The 22,445-nt window shown below is 43.6% G+C and overlaps 1 pseudogene, besides 4 other annotated features; it reads right to left on the reverse strand.

Annotated features, from left to right (window-relative positions):
- Window positions 4,792-4,861: a silencer, noted in NCBI's record as "silent region_19423". NCBI's record gives its function as "represses an Ori minimal core promoter by ATAC-STARR-seq in GM12878 lymphoblastoid cells {active_cell/tissue: GM12878}" and the evidence as "EXISTENCE:reporter gene assay evidence [ECO:0000049][PMID:35858748]".
- Window positions 4,912-4,971: a silencer, noted in NCBI's record as "silent region_19424". NCBI's record gives its function as "represses an Ori minimal core promoter by ATAC-STARR-seq in GM12878 lymphoblastoid cells {active_cell/tissue: GM12878}" and the evidence as "EXISTENCE:reporter gene assay evidence [ECO:0000049][PMID:35858748]".
- RNU4-83P (RNA, U4 small nuclear 83, pseudogene) lies at window positions 9,412-9,544 on the reverse strand (annotated as a pseudogene).
- Window positions 10,197-10,246: an enhancer, noted in NCBI's record as "active region_27716". NCBI's record gives its function as "activates an Ori minimal core promoter by ATAC-STARR-seq in GM12878 lymphoblastoid cells {active_cell/tissue: GM12878}" and the evidence as "EXISTENCE:reporter gene assay evidence [ECO:0000049][PMID:35858748]".
- Window positions 10,287-10,396: an enhancer, noted in NCBI's record as "active region_27717". NCBI's record gives its function as "activates an Ori minimal core promoter by ATAC-STARR-seq in GM12878 lymphoblastoid cells {active_cell/tissue: GM12878}" and the evidence as "EXISTENCE:reporter gene assay evidence [ECO:0000049][PMID:35858748]".

The following is a 22,445-nucleotide window of genomic DNA, read 5'->3' on the forward strand; positions in this document are numbered from 1 at the left end:
GACCTTTGAGTGGATTAATGTGTTGAGAGGTGAAAGAATTAATGCCATTATTGCAGAGTGGGTTAGTTATCATGGGAATGGGTTAGCTATCATGGGAATGGGTTTCTGATAAAAGTATGAGTTCAGCCCCCTCTCTCTCACTCTCTCTCCTCTCTTGCCCATCTTATTTCTGCAATGGGATGATATAGCATGAAGGCCCTCACCAGATGCCAGCGCTATGCTCTGGGACCTCCCATCCTCCAGAACTGTGAACCTAATAAACTTTTGTCGTTTATAAATCACCTCGTCTCTGGTATTCTGTTATCACTGCACAAACAGACTAAGGCATGAGCCAATAGCCATGCCTCCTTGAGACCTGGCATAGCATCTAGAATGCATCTGGAGCTCAGTACCTATTTGTTAAGTGAATTAATCAAGGAGGAGTTCCTCCTGGCTTCTATGTGAGGACATATTTGCCTTTGTGCATTGTAGACCTTTGGTCTTGATTTTAAATGTTTTCTCAGCGTAGCCCTTTTGGCTTCTAGGCTTGTCTGTGAGTCTCTCTCTCTCAGCACTGTAACCACCCTTTTCATTTCCTGTTAATATCTCTGTTATTCATTTTTTCTTTCTGACTTGTTAATTCATCACAAAAGTTTGTGTATGTGTGTGTGATTTTCTGAATGTTTGATCTCTAATATGATCTTATTTTTCTTAAATAACTTCATTAGAAGCCTCAACTTTATTTTCTTCTTATATGGAGTTGTATACTTTAAAAAGTATGCACAAGATTAAAGAGGAACTATGTGTAATCTAAGAAATTTATTTATTTTTTCCTTAGATATCTAAATATAGCCTAGCTGTTATGCTTTGGCTCAAATTTTGACTTGGTAAATTTGTTCTATTCATTTATTTATCTTTTTTATAATTAAAAAAATAGAGATGGGGTCTTGCTATGTTGGCCAGGGTAGTCTTGAACTCCTGGCCTCAAGCAATCCTCTTGCCTTGGCTTCCCAAAATCTGGGATCACAGGTATGAGCCACCATGCCTGGCCTATTCATTTCTTTCACATTTATCTATTTTCTATGGTTAGCACCAATGCCTTCCCTTGAGTATAGCAAAGGGGGGCATTTCCCCCAGATTGTACAGAGGAAACTCTAAACAGCAGTGAGTAGGAAAGAAGTAACTGCCCCCATATCCCGCCCCTGCCAATACCCTCAGCGTTCAAGTTACTCTTTTGGACATTGTCTCCCGTTTCTTTCCTCCTGTGCCACTTTCTCTATTTCTATTTCTAATATTTACAATCTCAGTTCTGATGACCAATGCTGCCATACAATTCATTTCAGCTTGAGCCTACTTGTACCCCTCTGGGGAAAGCCCAGGTTGGTAAATACTACGTGCAAACAACCCTTGCACAACATCCACATCTCCATCTATTTTCCACTGAGACACAAGCCCTGTCCTTTGCAGACTTCAAAGTGCCTGATCCCTGATCAAATGAGCACATGATCCGAACTAAGCAATGAGAATCTTGCCCTATAAAAATGAGATCTTGAGCCATGTGACACAAGGACCCCAAATGGCAAAACAGGTTCATCCCAAAAGGCAGGGCTGCCCATTAGTTCTTGCTCTCTGGATCTCTGGAGTCACCCCAGTTTCTGTCCTCACTAAGCCTTTTCCTGTGATTCTCTGGGCTACCCTGTAGCCTTTCAATACATTTCTTTTTGTCTTCAGTTACCCAGTGTTCATTTCTGTTGTTTGCAACCAAAGAGCTCCAAGTGATACCAGTGTTTGCAATTATTTGAGAACTTCCTCTGTTTCTTCATTGTTATGCTTTAATAAGAACAGCCACATAGATCAGTGTGGAATCTTAAGCCTTGACCACCAGATCGTTCATCATGTACATCTATTTTCACCAGCCCCCTTTCCAGATACCTCAATGCTACCTTTGCTTCTCTTGATTCTATTTTCTTTGGAAGATGTGGAACTATCCTGTTTATATTAAAGTCTGCTATTGGCTGGGTGCGGTGGCTCATGCCTGTAATCCCAACACTTTGGGAGACTGAGGTGGGCAGATCACCCGAGGTCAGGAGTTCAAGACCAGCCTGGCCAACATGGTGAAACCCCGTCTCTACTAAAAATACAAAAAATTAGCCAGGCATGGTGGCAGGCGCCTGTCATTTCACCTACTCTGGAGGCTGAAGCAGGAGAATTGCTTGAACCCAGGGGGTGGAGGTTGCCGTGAGCCGAGATTGCGTCATTGCACTTTAGCCTGGGCAACGAGAGTGAAACTCTGTCTCAAAAACAAAACAAAACAAAACAAAACAAAACAAAACAAAAAACAACCAAACCAAAACAAAACAAAACAAAGTCTACTATCACTTTGGGATGACAGGGTATACTTTACTGCCATTTAGTGAACAATTGAGCTTTATCACTATGTATTTACTTAAACAGAAACCAGCTAAACCAGAATGAAATCAGCTACCGGAATCCCTCCCACTTCACTTTCCACCTGGGCTCCCTCTGACAACAGGTAACCTTTGGGTGAAGTTGGCACAGAACTTTGAGAGACAGGACTCCCAACTGGATGACATTTTTAACATAAAGCAGCTATGGTAGCGTCGCCAAGAGCTTTCTCATCAGGGGGGCCGGCACTCTGCCTTGCTCTCTCCTTCATCCTTCCCCTTCCACCTTCCATTCTATTTCTGCCTCTTTGACCAGCTAAAGTGATTAGTTCTGGTGACTCTCATTCATCACCTACCATTGGCAGACTGGGGTTTCCCTCTAAGGGCAGTGGCTCTTGGGAATGGTCTCGGGGACTCCCCAGAGGTCTCAGGTCAGGTCAATACGGTCATTCCCTTGGCTCTTAGCTGGGCTAACTGATAGCCTTGGTGGCCTTTAGCAATGACAGAGGTGTTTTTGTTTGCATGATCAGACAGCATCCGCCTTGGCAATGCTGAAGCACCTCTGAGCAAACCACTCAGAATGGCCTGATGTGACCTTCCAGAGGGCAGATGCTAAGTCTGCCTTCTCTCTCCACCGTGGTTGATGGAATAAATTAATGGTTGATAGAATTATAGCAGAGTACACATAACTAACTTAATTTTAGCCCCTGACCAGCACAAGAACACAAGAGTCATCTAAGCAAAGTGGTGAGAAGGAAGGAATCCAGGGGCTCTCCAGAAGAGGAAGGGTTTTGTAGTGAGTGGCTAAGGAGTATAAACACTGGACTCTAGACATAGGGTCCGGCTCTACTACTTAGCTATTAATTTGGGCAAAATTACTTATGTTCTCTGAGCCTTATCTGTAAAGCAGAGATAGTATTAGCACCTATCTCATAGGGTTCTTGTGACAATTAAATGGGATGAAACCTAAAAAGTCCCCAGCATGAAGACTGGCATATAGTGCAATAAATATGAGCTACTGTTATCACTGGTAATAAAATCATCAGCAACTAGCCAAATGGGGGAACAGCCTATGTGCATTGGGACCTTTCTGGAGGCAAAGGCTGCAGGAGGCCTTTCCAGAGATTCAGAACTGGAGACCCCAGTGGGGCACCCTGCACATGGCAGCAGAGGCCAGCATAGGACAGAGCAGAACCAAGGAGAGCTTGCATTTCCCCACCAATGCCACGCTGTTGCCCAAATCCAGCAAGATTTGGAACTCATTCAAAGGGGAAGAACGAGGGAAGGGGGAATCTTGAAGTTATCTAAGTTTGTAGATGAGAAATGTTCGTACCTGCTACACCTGCAAAAGTTTGTCCTGGCACAGCTGAGACAGATGCAGAACTATGTGGCATGTAGGGTGAAGCTACCCATCTCCCCATCCCTGCTGCCCTTCTACCACCATCCTTGCCATTACCCTTCTCTCCTTGAGGAAAGAATGCAAGTCTGGTCAGAAGAATGGCGAGGCACTGCTGGAAAGGTTGGCATTCAGATCCTGGACTAAGTCTCTGGACTTCCTCCTGCTGGGGCTGGAGCTGGAGCCCGGCATGGTGGTGCCAGTGTGATGGCCGGCTGCCTGCTGAGCACAGGGAGCTTGATGAGCAGAGACGCAGAATGGTCCTTGAGCTTGATCCCAGAGAGGCAAGTGGTGTAGGAATGGAAAGGAAGAGCTGGATTCTACAGAAATTCCTGAGAAGTATTGTCAGGGATTCACAGAAGTGGGGGAAAGTTAGAGAGCACTGGGATCTGGGCCTGGATGGCTCAGAGAATCATGATGCCAGAAATTCAGATATCAGGGCCAGGCGTGGTGGCTCACCCCTGCAATCTCAGCACTTTGGAAGGCCGAGGTGGGCAGATCACCTGAGGTCAGGAGTTCGAGACGAGCCTGGCCAAAGTGGCAAAACCCCGTCTCTACTAAAAGCACAAAAGTTAGCTGGGCGTAGCGGCGGGTGCCTGTAATCCCAGCTACTCAGGAGGCTGACGCAGGAGAATTGCTTGAACCAGGGAGGCGGAGGTTGTGGTGAGCTGAGATGGCGCCATTGCACTCCAGCCTGGGCAACAAGAGAAAAACTCCGTCTCAAAAAAAAAAAAAAAAAAAAAAAAAAAAATTAAAATAAAAAAATTAAAAATAAAGTGGCAGATGGCAGAGATGAGCTCATTGAAAAAGGAATGTTCTAAAGTTTTACACTTTCTATGTACAGGAACTCAACTTTCTCAGGGGTAGACAGACGGGTGAAATTTTTCCGCAAAGGTGTTCTGGGTTACAACACAGACCTTTTTAGCCAGAAATTGCTAGAAAGGCAAACACGTTTTGATTAACTCTAGATTGAACATGGCTGTGAGGAAAGGAAGTCAGAGCTCTATTTTTAAGGTAGTTTGATGCAAGGTGAGCTCCGCTTCCCTTGCCACGGTGCAGATTACGTGGTCACGACACACTTCCACCACCTGGTGGCCAAACACTTAAATTGCAAGGCCTGCTCTTTAAGAAGTCCTCAACAATAGGGAGGACCTAATAGCATCTTCTTCTCCTGGCTCTGCAAAAACTTTTGAAACAGCCCTCAGAAGAAAGAAGCTGGAGCTCTGCTCGCTTCTCCAAAGACGGAGTTTGGTTTTGCTCCCCTGGTATAATCAGAAAAGCCAAGGAAGACTTTGAAGTAAACACAGTCCTTCCTCTGAAGTGCCAAGAACCCTAAAATTCTTGCAGTAGTAATTAATTCTATTTCCTTTCTGAGTGTTCTCTTTGAAAATATAGACACCCATTGTGAAGGGTGAGCTGTTAAATCATTAACACTTTAGTGTGAATAACTGTCTCAGACACTTTCCTTAGGTGGGGCTCATAGCTCCTAGAGGGTCTTAGAGGGGGGTTAAGGAAAGACCCAAAGGGAGGAAGAGAGGGCATCTGATATGGTCCTTCTATTATCCTGGGACCAAGAGGGCCAGGAGGAACCCCTGGTGAGAGCCTTGCCCTGGCTGCATGTGGTAACCTGCTTCACCCCAGCCTGCAAAAGCATTGACAAAACCCTGATGACAAGTTAACCAGAGAAAGCAGTGTGTGCTGTGTCTGGGAGGACATGGGAAATGCTAAGAAAGACCGATAATGACAGTGTCCCAAAGAGGAAGCTGGGTCCTCTAGCTGGTGGACACTGTTTTTGTTGTTGTGTGTTTTGTTGTTGTTGTTTTTTTTTTGAGTGTCACTCTTGTTGCCCAGGCTGGAGGGCAGTGGTACGATCTCAGCTCACTGCAACTTCCACCTCCCAGGCTCAGGCGATCCTCCCACCTCAGCCTCCCGAGTAGCTGGGACTACAGGTGCATGCCACCACACCCGGCTAATTTTTGTATTTTTAGTAGAGATGGGGTTTCACCATTGTTGGCCAGGCTGATCTCGAACTCCTGACCTCAGGTGATCTGCCCGCCTTGGCTTTCCAAAGTGCTGGGATTACAGGTGTGAGCCACTGCACCTGGACTGTTGTTTCTTTAAAACAGTGTATAAGGTTTATGGGCCCCATCCTCCCCACAGATAAAAATGGTTTAGTCCTCAATGTTTAAAATTGGGAGATTTCACATAAAAACCTGGATTTCTGGCTTTTCCTGTAAAAAGAATAAGGATGAGGATAATGATGATGAGACCAGCATTTTCACATGCTCTTCTAAAGCCGACAGGGAGCTGCTCTGCTGGGAGGGGATGTGCACCTTCCGGTTCTCCACAGTCCCCAGAAGTCCCACTTGCTGCACTTATGTTCCTGGCCTGGCTCCTGAAACCATCTGTGGTTGTGACTCTGCTTTCAAATACTACTAATAATTAAAATGATGATAAAAGTAATGAAAATACCAGTAATGCTATCAGTCATTTTGTCAGAGGCATTTGAACCAGAGCAACTCCATCATTAACAGGGGCTGGGTAAAATAAGACCCACTGGGCTGCATTCCCAGGAGGTTAGGCATTCTAAGTCACAGGATGAGATAGGAGGTCGGCACAAGGTACAGGTCACAAAGACCTTGACGATAAAACAGGTGACGGTAAAGCAGCTGGCCAAAACCCACCAAAACCAAGATGGCCACAAAAGTGACCTCTGGTCATCTTCACTGCTCATTACATGGTAATTATAATGCATTATCATGCTGAAAGACACTCCCACCAGCTCATGGCAGTTTACAAATGCCATGGCAATGTCAGGGGGTTACCCTATATGGTCGAAAAGGGGTAGGAATCCTCAGTTCCTGGAATTGCCCACCCCTTTCCCAGAAAATTAATGAATAATCCACCCCTTGTTTAGCATATAATCAAGAAATAACCATAAAAATGGGCAACCAGCGGCCCTCAGGGCCTTTTGCCTATGGAGTAGCCATTCTTTTGTTTCTTTACTTCTCCAATAAATTTGCTTTCACTTTATTCAATGAATTCGCCTCAAATTCTTTCTTTTGCGAGGTCCAAGAACCCTCTCTTGGGGCCTGCATCAGGACCCGTTTCTGGTAACAATTTAATGCTACTTCAAGCCAGACATTGTGCTAGTAATATTACTAACAAATTAACTCTGATTCTCAAAAAACAATGGTGTTTATATTTTCATATTAGCAAGATGAAAACCAAAGGACAAGGGAATTTCGTAGTCACATGCTCCTTTTTGTACTGGTATTAGAATATTGCCACTGTAGATTTTTCTTGGGTGTTTATTATATATTTTGTATTTATTCTCATTTCAATAGAGACACAGCTAAAAATGAATAGCACTACATTTATTTTCAACACAGGCAACAATCTGGCTCGGTTTGTAGCACCAAAATTGCACCCAAGACTGTCCTGCTTGTCCTCACCTCTGTGCAATTCATGATTCTGAGCAACACCACTCCAATCTCCCCTGTTCTACCCATGAGGTAATTGGCTTTCTGTTTAGCTACATGAGACTTCTTTTCTAGACAAATACTTATGGCTCCCTATTGTTTTGCTAATTAATTAAGACCTATGTTGTATTTCAAATGACCAAGTGCATTTTTGTCAACTGGAAAAAAACAAACAAACAAACAAGAAGGTGTTTTGATTCTTGCCCAGTTATTAACAATTCAAGTAAGTCCACATACGCTGCTGCTTCTCTGACTATGAGGAGTGAGCCCTAGGGAGGCATACAGGAAGCCTCCAAGGGTGACTAATGGGCTTTCTTTTGGATACAGAAATAATGCTACTGCTTTCAATTATTTGGAGTTCTTACCTCCCTCCCCAGTAGAGATAGATTTCCATGGTCCTACTATACTGTCCCTTCTGGTACCCTAGATCGGGGTGCCCAATCCCCTGGCCAAGGACCGGTACTGTCTGTGGCCTGTTAGGAAGCAGGCCACACAGCAGAAGGTGAGCAGCGGGCAAGCCAGCCTGACCACCTGAGCTCCACCTCCTGTCAGCTCAGCAGCAGCATTAGATTCTCATAGGAGTGTGAACCCTACTGTGAACTGCACATGTGAGGGATCTAGGTTGCGTGTTCCTTATGAGACTCTAACTAATGCTTGATGATCTGAGGTGGACAGTTTCACCCCAGAAACATCTGCCCCATCCCCCCACTCCTCCACCACCCACTGGTGGAAAAATTGTCTTCCACAAAACCGGTCCCTGGTGCCAAAAAGGTTGGGGACTGCAGCTCTAGGTAACCAAAGGCATGCATTTCCTCCATCCCTATCCTTTCTTTCAAGGAAGAAAGAAATGTGGGAGACAATGGGCCTATTTTCTCATCCCATTAAATTAGTTTGGCAGAAATTAGTTTGATCATATATTGTGTGTTTAATTTAAAAAAATCCCAGTGACACATCTTTTAATGCCCCTGTTGGTGAAGAAAGCAAAATTCTGTACAATATTTGAAGAAGTTTGTTCTGAGCCAAATGTGAGGCCCATGACCCATGACACAGCCTCAGGAGGTCCTGAGAACATGCGTCCAAGGTGGTTGGGTTACAGCTTGGTTTTATACATTTTAAGGAAACAGAAGTTACAGGCAAAGACATAAATCAACACATGTGAGGTATACATTGGTTCAGCCCAGAAAGGCAGGACATCTGGAAGCAGGGGATTTCCAGGTCATAGGTGGATTCAAAGATTTTCTGATTGGTGATTGGTTGAAAGAGTTAAGCTTTGCCTGAAGAGCTGAGTCAGCATAAAGCAATGCTTGAGTCAAGATAAGGGGGATTGTGGAACCCCAGGTTTTTGTTATATAAAGTCTCTAAGTCAGCTTCAGAGAGAATAGATGGTATATGTCTCTTACTGGGCCTTGAAAGGTATCAGACTCTCCAAAATAGTCCTAGTAAGGGAAGGAGATTCTCTAGAGAATGCAAATTTTCCCCGCAAGAGATGGCTTTGCGGAGCTATTCCAAAATATGTCAAAGAAATATATTTGGGGGTAAAATACTTTGATTTCCTCTAGGGCCTGTTATCTCTCATGTGATGCTACACCAGCATCAGGTTGGAACTTGGTATCATGTTGCTACAGTCTGTTTTGTCAGTCTTATAATCTCTTTGTGAATGTTCATGCTGGTCAGTCATGTGCCTGAACTCCAAAGGGAGGAGGGTGTAGCAAAGGACATCTGACCTCCCTTCCCATCATGGCCTTAACTAGTTTTTTGAGGGTTTGTTTTGGGGTTTGTTTGTTTGTCTGTTTGTTTGTTTGTTTTTTTGAGACAGAGTCTCACTCTGTCCCCCAGGCTGGAGTGCAGTGGTGCAATCTCAGCTCGCTGCAACCTCTGCCTCCTGAGCTGAAGCGATTCTCCCGCTTCAGCCTCCCGAATAGCTGGGACTACAGGTGTGAGGCACATGCTAAACTAATTTTTGTATTTTTAGTAGAGACGGGGTTTCATCATGTTGGCCAGGCTGGTCTCGAACTCCTGACCTCAAGTGATCCACCCGCCTCAGCCTCCCAAAGTGCTGGGATTACAGGCGAGAGCCACCGCACCCGAGTTGTTTTTGTTGTTGTTGTTGTTGTTTTTTAATATATATTTTTTTACTAACAAAGTTCAGTCTCTGGAGAGACGGTCAAAAATTGCCAATGCTGACTATATTTCAACTCATCGTGGCAGGGTACTGAGAAGAGTTTTCCATTAGCAATAATCACACCTCAGGTAAACCTCATTGGCTGCCATTGCACAAAGTTTCCTCGGGTTTTCTTTGGGATCCTCTTGGCCAAGGGGGGAATCCATTCAGTGGTTGGGGGTGCTTAGAATTTTATTTTTGGTTTACTCCCACAAACTTTGTAACGTTCCTTCTTTCCTTCCCCTCTGTTTATTTATTTCAGTAATTTTCTTTTTTTCTCTCTCTCTCCTTTTCTTTTTTTAGACAGAGTCTCACTCTGTCATCCAGGCTGGAGTCCAGTGGCATGATCTCGGCTCACTGCAACCTCTGCCTCCCGGGTTCAAGTGATTTTCATGTCTCAGCCTCCCGAGTAGCTGGGATTACAAGCATGCGCCACCACGCCCAGCTACTTTTTTGTATTTTTTAGTAGGGATGGGGTTTTGGTATGTTGGCCAGGCTGATCTCGAACTCCTGGCCTCAAGTGATCCTCCTGCCTTGGCCTTCCAAAGTCCTAGTAATTCTCTTTTTATCAGTTTTAATTCTCATTGAAGTTATCTATAATCATAAGAGTCAAATCCAAGGCTTGTTACAAAAATTAGCAGATCTCTCTCACTCCATTTCCTGATCTCTAAACAGAACCACTTTCAAATCTCTAGATAATTTTATACTATATTCTATAAATTTTCAGTTTCAGGTGTATGTTGTCAACTTCTTGCGATGGAAAATAAGGCCTTTACTTTCACTCTCGCTCTCTCTCTCGCTCTCTTTATTGCTCTCTCTCTCTCACATACACACATTCACACTTTCTGACTTCCTGTCTTCCTGAAACAATTACATAAGCTTTGGTTAGACACATATTCAGTGTTGTATTGGTCAAGTCTAATCAGGAGTTAGAAACCACAGAGTAATTGGTACATAGAAAGTTTAATATAAAGAGTTATTCACTACAGTATAGGATTATCTATCAAGGGGGAAAGAGAACTGTAAAGAATGCCTAGAGGTGGGCAAGTGTGGGAGACCAGAGTACCCCTCCCCAAAGTACAAGGGATTATCAAGCTGAAGACACTTAAGAAGAAACAAACGCACCAGAGCGCTCTGCCCTCTGTTGGGGCTTGGAAAACAATGCCCTGCAGTACGGCACTTTGGCGGGTTGAGCACTTTGATCTCAAGGAGACTGGAAGGCTCCAGAAGCAAGTTCTCTCTGATCTTTTCTGTTCTATCTCTCCTGCCTCTTTTTTCCCCCAAAGCAAGTCATGGACACCAGAATTCCACTTCCCCAAGGCTGGTTATTAGAAACTGATCCCCTCTTCTCCAAAGCAAGCCTTAAAATGAGACATATCATTCTCATCTTCCCCATCTTTCTGTGTAGAAGCTGGCCATAAAGACATTCTCCGGCCTGCCTTGCCAAATAGTTGGTCATAAGACTCCCATTCCAGAGGGGTCCTGCGCTATCCCCCGAGCAAGGAATGCTGCACAGAGAAGCCAAGAAGAATCTGAACATACAGGCTTTGCCGGGTCTCCCCACTCAATCCATTATCATTGGATCATATTGTTGTTGTCCAGTCACATTTCTACATGCCTGCCCATTTTTTATTTGACTTAAGCATAAAAATAGACAATTTTCCCTGGGTCTTTAGGACTTTATTTCTGAAGTTTGCCGTGTCATGTAAAACTTTGATTAAATAAGTTGTGTTATGTTTTTCTCCTGTGAACCTGTCTTTGTTATAGGAGTTGTCGGCCATGACCCTTATGATGGGTGAGGAAAGGGATCACACCTTTTCTGCCCCTGCATTCTCCTCTATTTGCCTAAAAGAAGAATATAGATCTATAAAGAAAAAGGGCATCTGTATGAGTCAGGGTTCTCCAGGAGGACAGAACTAATAGGATATATGTGTATATAAAAGAGAGTTTACTAGGGAGGATTGGCTCACACAATTACAAGGCAAAGTCCTACAAGAGGCCGTTTGCAAGCTGGGGAGAAGGAAAAGCTGGTAGTGGCTCAGTCCAAGTCCGAAAGCCTCAGAACCAGGGAAGCCAACAGTGCAGCCTTCAGTCTGCGGTTGAAGGTCCGGGAGACCCTGGGAAGCTGCTGGTGCAAGTCCCAGAGTCCAAAGGCCAAAGAATCTGGCGTCTGATATCCAAGGGCAGGAGGAGCAGAGGCAAGCACCCAACGTGGGAAGAAGAAAGAGAGCCAGAGGACTCAGCAAGCAAAGTTACCCCACCTTCTTCACCTGCTTTGTTCTGGCTGTGCTGGCTGCCATTGGATGGTGTCCACCCACACTGAGGGTGAGTCTTCCTCTCCCAGTCCACTGACTCACATGTCAATCTCCCCAGCACCCTCACAGACACACCAGAAACGATACCAGCCACCTAGCATTCCCCAATCCAGTCAAGTTGGCACCTAATATTAACCGTCACAGTATCCTTCCTTGCTCTCTGAAGGTTACCAGTGGGCCAGATGTGGTGGCTCATGCCTGGAATCACAGCACTTTGGGAGGCTGAGGCTGGTGGATCACCTGAGGTCAGGAATTTGAGATCAGCCTGGTCAACTTGGTGAAACCCTGTTTCTACTAAAAATATACACACACACACAAATTAGCCCAGCATGGTGGCGGGCCCCTGCAGTCCCAGCCACTTGGGAGGCTGAGGCAGGAGAATTGCTTGAGCCCAGGAGGCAGAGGTTGTAGTGAGCCAAGATCGTGCCACTGCACTCCACTTGCACTCCAGCCTGGGTGACAGAGCGAGACTCCATCTCAAAAAAATAAAAATAAATAAATAAGGGGGCTGGGGGCAGTGGCTCACGCCTGTAATCCTAGCACGTTGGGAGGCCAAGGTGGGCAGATCACTTGAAGTCAGGAGTTCAAAACCAGCCTGGCCAATATAGTGAAATCTCGTCTCTACTAAAATCACAAAAATTAGCCGGGTGTGGTGGTGGACGCCTGTAATCCCAGCTACTTGGGAGGCTGAGGCAGGAGAATCACTTGAACCGGGAGGCGGAGTTTGCAGTGAGCCGAGATTGCACCACTGCACTCCAGCCTGGGCTACTGAGCGAGACTCCATCTCAAAAATAAATAAATAAATAAATAAATAAATAAAACAAATAAATAAAAATAAAGGTTACCACTGAAGAAAGCTTTAAACTGTCTCGGCCTGGAGATGAAGCCAGAGGAATGCATATGAACAAGCTTTACTAACCAGCCTTTATCTGCCAGTTCTTTGCCTTTCCTCAAGTTGCTGCCTGTAGAAACTCAAAATCCATTTCCTTTGTCCTGTCACTTCTCTAAAAGTGTACTGTTCTTTGTTAAAGATGCCAGCTAAGCTGGAATTCCAAGCCACCACTTTGAGAACTACTCATTCTCTGTGTATCTCCCATGTATTATGAAGTATATATGTGAATAAATTTGTTTGCTTTTCTTTTGTTAATTTGCCTTTTGTAACAGAAGTCTGTTTCTACTACAGACCTCTGGAGGTTCTTTTCCCCCATGCAAGGATACTCCCGGGAGGAACGTCCCTCCCTGAGGCTGAGATGGCACAGAAGTTTTCTGGGTTGCTCCAGGCCACTGGACAAGAAGAAAACACCACTCCGAGGTAGAGATGTGTAGAAAACCGTGGCCAGGATTGGCAAGCAGAAAACACCTCTCTGGAGGGCTGGCAGGCCAAGGCTGGGAAGCCAACTGAGGCACCCGCATGATTCACTGGGGATCATTCCTGGGAAGGCTGCGGGAACCCTGTGGGAAGTTATCCATCTGGTGCTGCTGGATCCTAATGGAGCTGTCACTGGATCTTTGGTTGCCGCATTGGGGGGTGTGGGGAGAGGATTGAAAAGCAGCAAAACCTGGATGGTGGAAGCAACCGCCTTCCTCCTTCAGCATCCCTCCAACGCCCTCTACTGACGATGCTTTTAACATCATGCCGGCTGCAAAGGAGAAATAGTCAAAGGACCCCGAATCTCACAGTGTGAATCTGGAGAGGCAGTAAATTGATAACTGGCATAAGTGTTTACCTTTTACGAATCGATTAATGTTATTGACAGCTGAGTCATGTAACATATTACGATTACTTCTCCTTCCCTACTTTTTTGTTTTTTCTCGGATTAATCATTGGTTTTGTTGTTTTTGTTTATTTAATTATCACCAATCCCCAAACTCTCCCTAGTTATGTAAATCTTCTCTCCCACAGGGGAACAATAGTCTCAGTCCTCATTCTGGCAACATTTGGGTACTGGACCATGAGGCAGGTGAGGGACACATGGCAGCGGAGACCATCGTCATTATTTGAGGAAGTTTATGCATCTTCAGCAGGATCCCCCACTGTGGTCTTGTGACCAATTCACAGAGGCCACTGGCTTGGGGTCTTTCTTCTACCCTCTCCTTTCATCTCCTTAAGGGTGTTCTTACACGTGTTCTGCTCACTCCTTCATCAACTCACTCCTCTCCTGGCTTCTCATATTACATTTATTTATTTATTTATTTATTTATTTATTTATTTATTTAGATGGAGTCTTGCTCTGTCACCCAGACTGGAGTGGAGTGGCGCGATTTTGGCTCACTGCAACCTCCGTCTCCCAGGTTCAAGCGATTCTTCTGCCTCAGCCTCCCCAGTAGCTGGGACTACAGGCGTGTGCCACCATGCCCAGCTGATTTGTGTGTGTGTGTGTGTGTGTGTGTGTGTGTGTGTGTATATATATATATATATATATATATATATATATATATATATAGAGAGAGAGAGAGAGAGAGAGAGAGAGAGAGAGAGAGAGAGAAACAGAGAGTATGTATGTGTGTGTATTTTCACCATGTTGGCCAGGCTGGTCTCGAACTCCCGACCTCAGGTGATCTGCCTGTCTCAGCCTCCCAAAGTGCTGGGATTACAAGTGTGAGCCACCGCACCTGAAGCATAAGTTTTTTAAAATTCAACTATCTAAATAGGTTTATTCCATAGGTAGAATATTTTTCCCCATTTGTTTTGAAGATCAAATAACTTTAGGATTCAAAATAATGTGAAAGTCTTAGTACACACTTGGATGAGTTGATCTTAAACTGCTATTCATGGAAAGCTTTTCAAGCCTGAAATATTAAGGAAACTCACTGTTTCCTTAAAAAAAAAAACAGCTGGCTTTAATTGTTGGTCTTTACTGAATGAATGGATTTTCCAGATAGACAAAAAATAGTTTTCTATAACTAGCACAGAAAGGGAAGAAATAAAGTGAATTGCAACAGGCCAGCATTCAGATGATGGCAAATCCAGGGCTCTAGTCTTTGGTTAGAGGCTTAAGTGCTTAGAACCTATTAGAAGTTGTATTTGAAGAATAAAATGGTAACCAAAATAGTTTAAGTGGGTAAAAAAGGAGTCAGACCTCATCTGAAATTGGATTTCAGAATGGTTAAATTTGGATGTAAAATAAAACAAATATACGAGAATTTAAGAAGTATATGTACATATTTATAAATCTTAGATGAGGGAAGTCTTACTAAGCTAAACATATTGAAGCCAAAAAGGCATCAAAAGATTGACATAGCCTGGGCAACGTGGCAAGACCCTGTCTACAAAAAAAAAAAATTAAAAAATTAGCTGGGCGTGGCAGCCTGTGTCTGTTGTCCCAGCTACTCAGGAGACTAAAGCAGGAGGATTGCTTGAGTCTGGGAGGTTGAGGTTGCAGTGAGCCATGATCTCACTACTACACTTCAGGCTGGGTGACAGAGTTAGACCCTGTTTCAGAGAATAAATGAATTAAAACAAAAGATTGACAGATTTGAGCACACGAACATCCAACATCTTCCATAAAACCCATTTATGGACTAAATGTTTATGTTCCCACAAAATTCACACGTTGAAGGCTTTACCCACAATGTGATGGTATTTGGAGTTGGGTCCTTTGGGAGGTAATTAGGGTTACATGAGGTCATGAGGGTGGGGCCCTCATAATAGGATTAGTGTCTTTATAAGCAGAGATACCAGAGGGCTCTTTCTCTCTCTCTCTGTCTCTCTGTCTCTCTCTCTCTCGCATGTGAGGACACAGTGAGAAGGCAGCTATCTTCAAGCCAGAAAGAGAGCCCTCACTAGAAACTAACAATACTTGCATGCTAATCTCAGATTTCCAGCCTCCAAGACTGTGAGAAAATAAATTTCTGTTGTGTGAGCCATCCAGTCTACAGTATTTTATTATGGCAGCTGGAACAGAGTAGTACATAGTAGGCTAAGGAAAGTTTAAAAACTAGAAGTATGGAAAAAAGTATTTGCAACTTATGTAATTGGCTATATGTTTACAACTCCAAAATATGTAAAAATTTAAAAACAAATCAGCTAGAAAAATACAAATATCCCAATAGAAAAATGAGCAAAGGACACAGAGAGATCATTTATGAAATAACTACAAATTAACAACAAACAAAAGAAAATGTGTTCTATATCATTACTGTGATGGCAGGAATAGCCCTTGAAAGATGCTCATATCCTAATCTCCAAAACTGTGAATATATTACCTTACATGGCAAAGGAACTTTGCAGGTGTGATTAAGTTAAGGATTTTGAGATGAGAGGATTACCTTAGATTGTCTGGGTCGGCCCAGTGTAATCACAAGGGTCCTTATAAGTGAAACAGAAAGTCAGGAGAGTCCAAGTCAAAGAAAGAGATGTGATGAAGGAAGCAGAGATTGGAGTGCTGTGCTCTGAAGACGGAGAAAGGGGCCACAAGCCAAGGAATGCTGGTAGCCTCTAGAAGCTGGAAAAGGCAGGGGAAATGAATTCTCCTCCAGAGCTTCTAGAAAGGAATACAGCTCTGCCACATGTTGACTTCAGCCCTGTAAGACTCATTTTGGACTTCTGACCTCCAGATCTATAAGATAATAAATTTGTGTTGTTTTAAGTCATTAACTTTGTGGTAGTTTGTACAGCAGCAATAGGATACTAATACAATCACTAGTCAAGGACATCTAAATTAAAGGAATGATATGCATGCTTTTAAATCAGTATAAATGAAAACTATTGGTGTGGCAGAATATAGGCACATATACTTTTGGTACATATAATTTAATAATGTAAATAAGCATGCCCTTTCTTGGCGAGCAACGGTATTTATCAACCTGTATCAGATCTTTAAATGGGCATCTTTTACCTAACAACTTTTTCTTTGACTACATTCTAAGCACCCAATTTCCAGTTGCATTTAGTAGTGAAACTCTTCCTTCACACAAAATTGAGCAGAGGGAAGTGCATCTACAATTGCCAAAGCAGTGTTAGGGGATGCAGCCCTGAAGCCTGGCAGAAGTCAGGCAGAAGAAGCCTGAAGCCACCTCACCCCTGCTGAAGTCCCTCAGGCATTTCCAGGGCTCCATGGAACACACTTGGAGAATCACTGTCTTGGGGGAATAACTGGACAAGCAAACAAAAACTCCATGCAAGGATGTTTATCACAACATTGTTTCCATTGCAAAAAAATTAGAAATCACCTATATGCCTCCCAAGGAAAGTGACTTGTTAGGAAAAAATGCTCAGTATCACTAATCATCAGGAAATACAAAACTACAATGGGATATCACCTCACCCCTTTTAAAATGGCTATTATCGAAAAGATGAAAGATCAAAACTGTTGGACTAGGATATGGAGAAAAGGGAACCCTTGTACACTATTGGTGGGAATGTAAATTGCCACTGTGGAATTGTCACTATGGAAAATAGTATGGAGTTTCCTCAAAAATTAAAAATAGAACTACCATATGATCCAGCAGTCCCACTACTGGGTATAGATCCAAAAGAAATAAAACGAGTATGTCAAAGACATATCTGCACTCCCATCTTTGTCGCAGCACTATTCACAATAACCAAGATACAGAATCAACTTAAGTATCCCTCCACAGATGAATGAAGAAACAAACACAGATATGCAGACACACACACACACACACACACACATACACACACACACACCCCACACAATGTAACACTAATCAGTTTTTAAAAAGAAGGACATTTCTTTTTTGACAACATGGATGAACCTGAAGGATGTGCTAAGTGAAAAAAAGCCAGGCACAGAAAAATAAATATCTCATGATCTCACCTACATGGTGGAATCTAAAAAAGTGGCACTCGTTGAAGCTGAGAGTGGAATGGTGGTTGCCAGGGGCTGTGGGGTGGGGAATGGGGAGGTGTTGGTGAAAGGGTCCAAAGTTTCGGTTAAGAGAAATAAGTTTAAGGGATCTATCGCATAATGTGATGACTACAGTTAATAATGTATACTTGAAAGTTGCTAAGAGATTTTTATGATCTCAAAACAAAAAATGGTAAGTATGTGAGGTGATGAATATGACAATTAGCTTAATTTAATAATTTCACAAAGTATATATATATATATATCAAAGCATCACATTGTACCAAAAATATATACAATTATTTATTTATTTTTATTTTATATTATTTTATTTATTTATTCTTTGAGATGAAGTCTCATTCTCTCCCCCAGGCTGGAATGCAGTGGTGTGATCTCAGCTCACTTGCAACCTCCACCTCCCAGATTCAAGCGATTCTCCTGCCTCAGCCTCCCAACTAGTTGGGATTAAAAGTGCCTGCCACCATGCCGGGCTAATTTTTATATTTTTAGTAGAGACAGGATTTCGCCATGTTGGCAAGCTGGTCTCGAACTCCTGACCTCAGGTGATCTGTTTGCCTCGGCCTCCCAAAGTGCTCGGATTACAGGTGCCAGCAACCGCACCTGGTCAATATATACAATTTTTATTTGTCAACTATATGTTAATAAAAAAGTTTAAAAAGTGACCTGTGGCCAGGCACGGTGGCTCATACCTATAATCCCAGCACTTCGGGAGGCTGAGGTGGGTGGATCACCTGAGGTCAGGAGTTTGAGACCAGCCTGCCCAACATGGTGAAACCCTGTCTCTACTAAAAATACAAAAATTAGCCAGGGGTGTTGGCAGATGCCTATAATCCCAGCTACTAGGGAGGTTGAGGCAGGAGAATTGCTTGAACCCGGGAGGTGGAGGTTGCAGTGAGCCAAGATTGCACCATTGCATTCCAGCCTGGGCAACAAGAGTGAAACTCCATCTAAAAAAAAATTAAGTGACTTGTTATGATTTATTCATAAAATAGAATACTATGCAGCCATTAAAAATGATGAAAAACATCTATATTGACATAGGAAGAGTTATGCAATTTATTGGGGGGGAAAATATGTTATAAAACATGTTGGCATGGTAGGATTCATTTCTGAAATATACATACAAATGTGTATAAATTATAAAGACATATAAAGAGATATGGATTGAAGCATTAATAGTAATCATCTCTAGGTGGTGGAATTAAGTTGAGCTTTACTTTTTTTTTTTTTTGAGACAAAGTCTCGCTCTGTCACCCAGGCTGGAGTGCAGTGGCACCATCTCAGCTCACTGCAACCTCTGCCTCTCTGGTTCAAGTGATTCTCCTGCCTCAGCCTCCTGAGTAGCTGGGACTACAGGTGCATGCCGCCACACCCGGCTAATTTTTTGTATTTTTAGTAGAGATGGGGTTTCACCGTGTTAGCCTGGATGGTCTCGATCTCTTGACCTCATGATCCACCTGCCTCGGCCTCCTAAAGTGCTGGGATTACAGGCGTGAGGCACCGTGCCCGGCCTTTACTTTCTACTTTACTTCTTCGTGTATTTTCTATATTTAAAAAAAAGTCTATATTGTATATTCAGAAAAAAAGCTGGTTATACCATGAATAATGAATGAACAAAAAAGGAATAAATGGCATGTGTGTGTGTGTGTGTGTGTGCACGTGTGCGCACACAAGTGCATGCATGTAAGAGAGGGAGAAAGAAAGAACAGAAAGGAAGTCAGAAATTTATCTTCATGAGCTTAGGTAGCTAATGGAGTGAGATATAAACATATTTTATGTGACAAGGTGCGAGCAAAGCATTAATGTTGGATATCTTCCATTTGCCCCTCTAGCTCCACTTTCTCCCCTTCTCTTCTGCTCTGCTCTTGGTGAGGCTGGCCCATGTGGACACCATTGACATCTCCCTTGCCTCTTGGCTTCTTGTTGGGTTTCCCATGGAGATGCACCACGAGAGATTAGAGGGTGGGGATGGGATATACATCCCAAGCTCCCTCCTCATGTGAATGCCAAGGGTGTGCTTTGGGCTGCACGTGACATCCTTCTAGCAAAGTCCACAGCTCCTATCTGGAGGACCTGTCCCTGAAGCATCCTCTCTGGGTTCCCCCCTCTCCCTTTTCAGGTCTAATGGTGAAGTTTCTTGCTTTGGTTAACCTCAGTGCACAGCATGATCCCTTGATAGTTTTGGTAACGCCTACCTATTGTAAATTACCCATCTTGAGCCTGTCATCTGTTTTCAGCTGGAATCCTTACTATTAGGTTGATGCAAAAGTAATTGTGGTTTTTGCCATTGAAAGTAATGACAAAACCCACAATTATTTTGGTACTAGCCTAATAATACACAAGGGGTGTGTGTGTGTGTGTGTGTGTGTGTAAACAACTATAAAGGTGGATGGTTTTCTTCAAATATCTTACAGTCTTTTTTTTTTTTTTTTTTGAGATGGAGTCTCACTCTGTTACCAGGCTGGAGTGCAATGGCGTGATCTCAGCTCACTGCAACCTCCACCTCCCAGGTTCAACCGATTCTCCTGCCTCAGCCTCTCAAGTAGCTGGGATTACAGGCACCCGCCACCAAGCCCAGCTAATTTTTTTTATTTTTAGTAAAGATGCGGTTTCACCATGTCGGCCAGGATGGTCTCGATCTCCTGACCTTGTTATCCGCCCGCCTCAGCTTCCCCAGGTGCTGGGATTACAGGCATGAGCCACCATGTCCAGCCGTATCTTACAGTCTTATTTAAATGTCCCATTTTTCTCCCATGAGTACATGCCAGGTATGTATCATACATCTCAGTCAACAAAAACAGGCACTAAAGAAATAACATTTTCATCATTTTATGTAGCTCACTATTCCACTGGGGTGGCAAAACGCAGGGTCACTAGGTTTGGGATTTACTCCTCCACCCACTTTCCCCCAGTTTTGTGACTAAGAAATGGGAAGCCTACCTGGTGTCGAGGCACAGTGGATGGGATGTCATGTCATCTGGTTAGGCAGGCAACTGCCAGGGCACCCCATGCTCAACCCTGTGCTCAGTGAGCAATTCAAGAGCTTGTGTTTCCTTCTCCCGCTACTATGCTACCCATGGGCACTCAGGGATGGCTCTGCTGCTCCTGTGTGATTCTTCGGTGTAGGAAGCTCTGGGAGGCTGCCTAAGCCCCATCTGGCAGGTGATATGATACAGCCGCTTCTTCATTAGGGTCTTGCAACTTCCTCAGGGATCTACAGGAAAACACAAATTTCATCGCTGCTCACACCCTCATGTTCCACACCCTACTTGGGCATCTTATGGTCTTCCCAGGGCTTAGCTTGTGGTATGGGGACAAGACCACTTTCTCTGGAGCCCACCAATGCCCACACTAAATTGTTGCCCTTGAAGCTGTCATTGTTTTCCCCCTACCCAGGAAAATTTATTTTCCAGACTGTGTTTGGGGAAGCTTTCTCATTATGTATTCTCCTGAATATTTGGTTTAGATAGTTAAAAGATGTAAAAATGTTCCCTAAATCGATATATTGATTCATGCATTCACCAATGTATTGAAAATCCCAGCATGTTTTTTGGGAACATTCATAAGCTGATTCTAAAATGTATATAGAAATGTAAGAGGCCAACAATGCTACAGACACTTAAAGAAGAAGCAAGTTGGAAGACAATCTATCAGATAAAAAGATTTATTATAAAGCTACAATAATTAAGACAGAATAGTAATGGTACAAGAATAGGCAAGTAGACCAATGGAACAACATAGAGTCAAAGAACAGACCCACACATTAATGGACACTTGATTTATGACAAAAGTGGCATGCTGAGCCGTAGGAGAAAGGACAATCTTCTTAATAAGTGGTTCTGGGTCAACGGGATATCCATAAACATACACCAATTTCAGGTGGACTACAGATCTAAATGTGAAAGGCCAAAGAATAAGTTTCTTGATATCACAACAGAAAATCCTAATGACCATAAATTAACTCTTTTAAAAATTTGAGACAGTCGGCCAGCCTCAGTGGCTCACACCTGTAACCCCAGCACTTTGGGAGGCCAAGGCAGGCGGATCACCGGAGGTCAGGAGTTCAAGACCAGCCTGGCCAACATGGTGAAACCCCGTCTCTACTAAAAATACAAAAATTAGCCAGGCATGGTGGCGGGTGCCTGTCATCCCAGCCACTCGGGAGGCTGAGGCAGGAGAATTGCTTGAACCTGGGTGGCGGAGGTTGCAGTGAGCTCAGATGGCGCCACTGCACTTCAGCCTGGGCGGCAGAGCGAGACTTTGTCTCAAAAAAAAAAAAAAAAAAAAAAATTGAGGCAGTCTTGTTCTGTCATGCATGGCTCGCTGCAGCCTCAACCTTCCATGCTCAAGTGATCTTCCCATCTCAGCCTCCTGAGTAGCTGGGATTACAGGGGTGTGCCACCACATCCAGCTAATTTTTTTTAAGTTTTTTGTGGAGACTGGTCTCACTATGTTGCCCAAGTTGATCTCCAACTCCTGGGCTCAAGTGATCCTCCCAACTCAGACTCCCAAGGTGCTGGGATTATAGGTGTGAGCCACCAGGCCCAGCAAAATTAAGCAATTTTTAATTGGGCTGCTTTAAAATTAGCAAGTTTTTTTTTTAATCATGAAAAGATACCACTGAAAGACTGAAAAAGCAAGAATGAGAAACAATATTTGTAGCACATAAGAAGGACTCATATCTAGAATATATAAAGAATTTCTACAGAGCGATTAGAACACAACAGCCAGTCCAACAGAAAAACAGGCAGGAAATTTGACAAGCCATCTTACAAGAGAAGATATCCAAATACTTGGAAAGCAAGAGAAAAGGTGCTTGGCCAGGTACAGTAGCTCACACCTGTTATCACAGCACTTTGGAAGGCTGAGGCAGGAG

This window comes from Homo sapiens, chromosome 8 (assembly GCF_000001405.40).
Source record: "Homo sapiens chromosome 8, GRCh38.p14 Primary Assembly".
Lineage (NCBI taxonomy): Eukaryota > Metazoa > Chordata > Mammalia > Primates > Hominidae > Homo > Homo sapiens.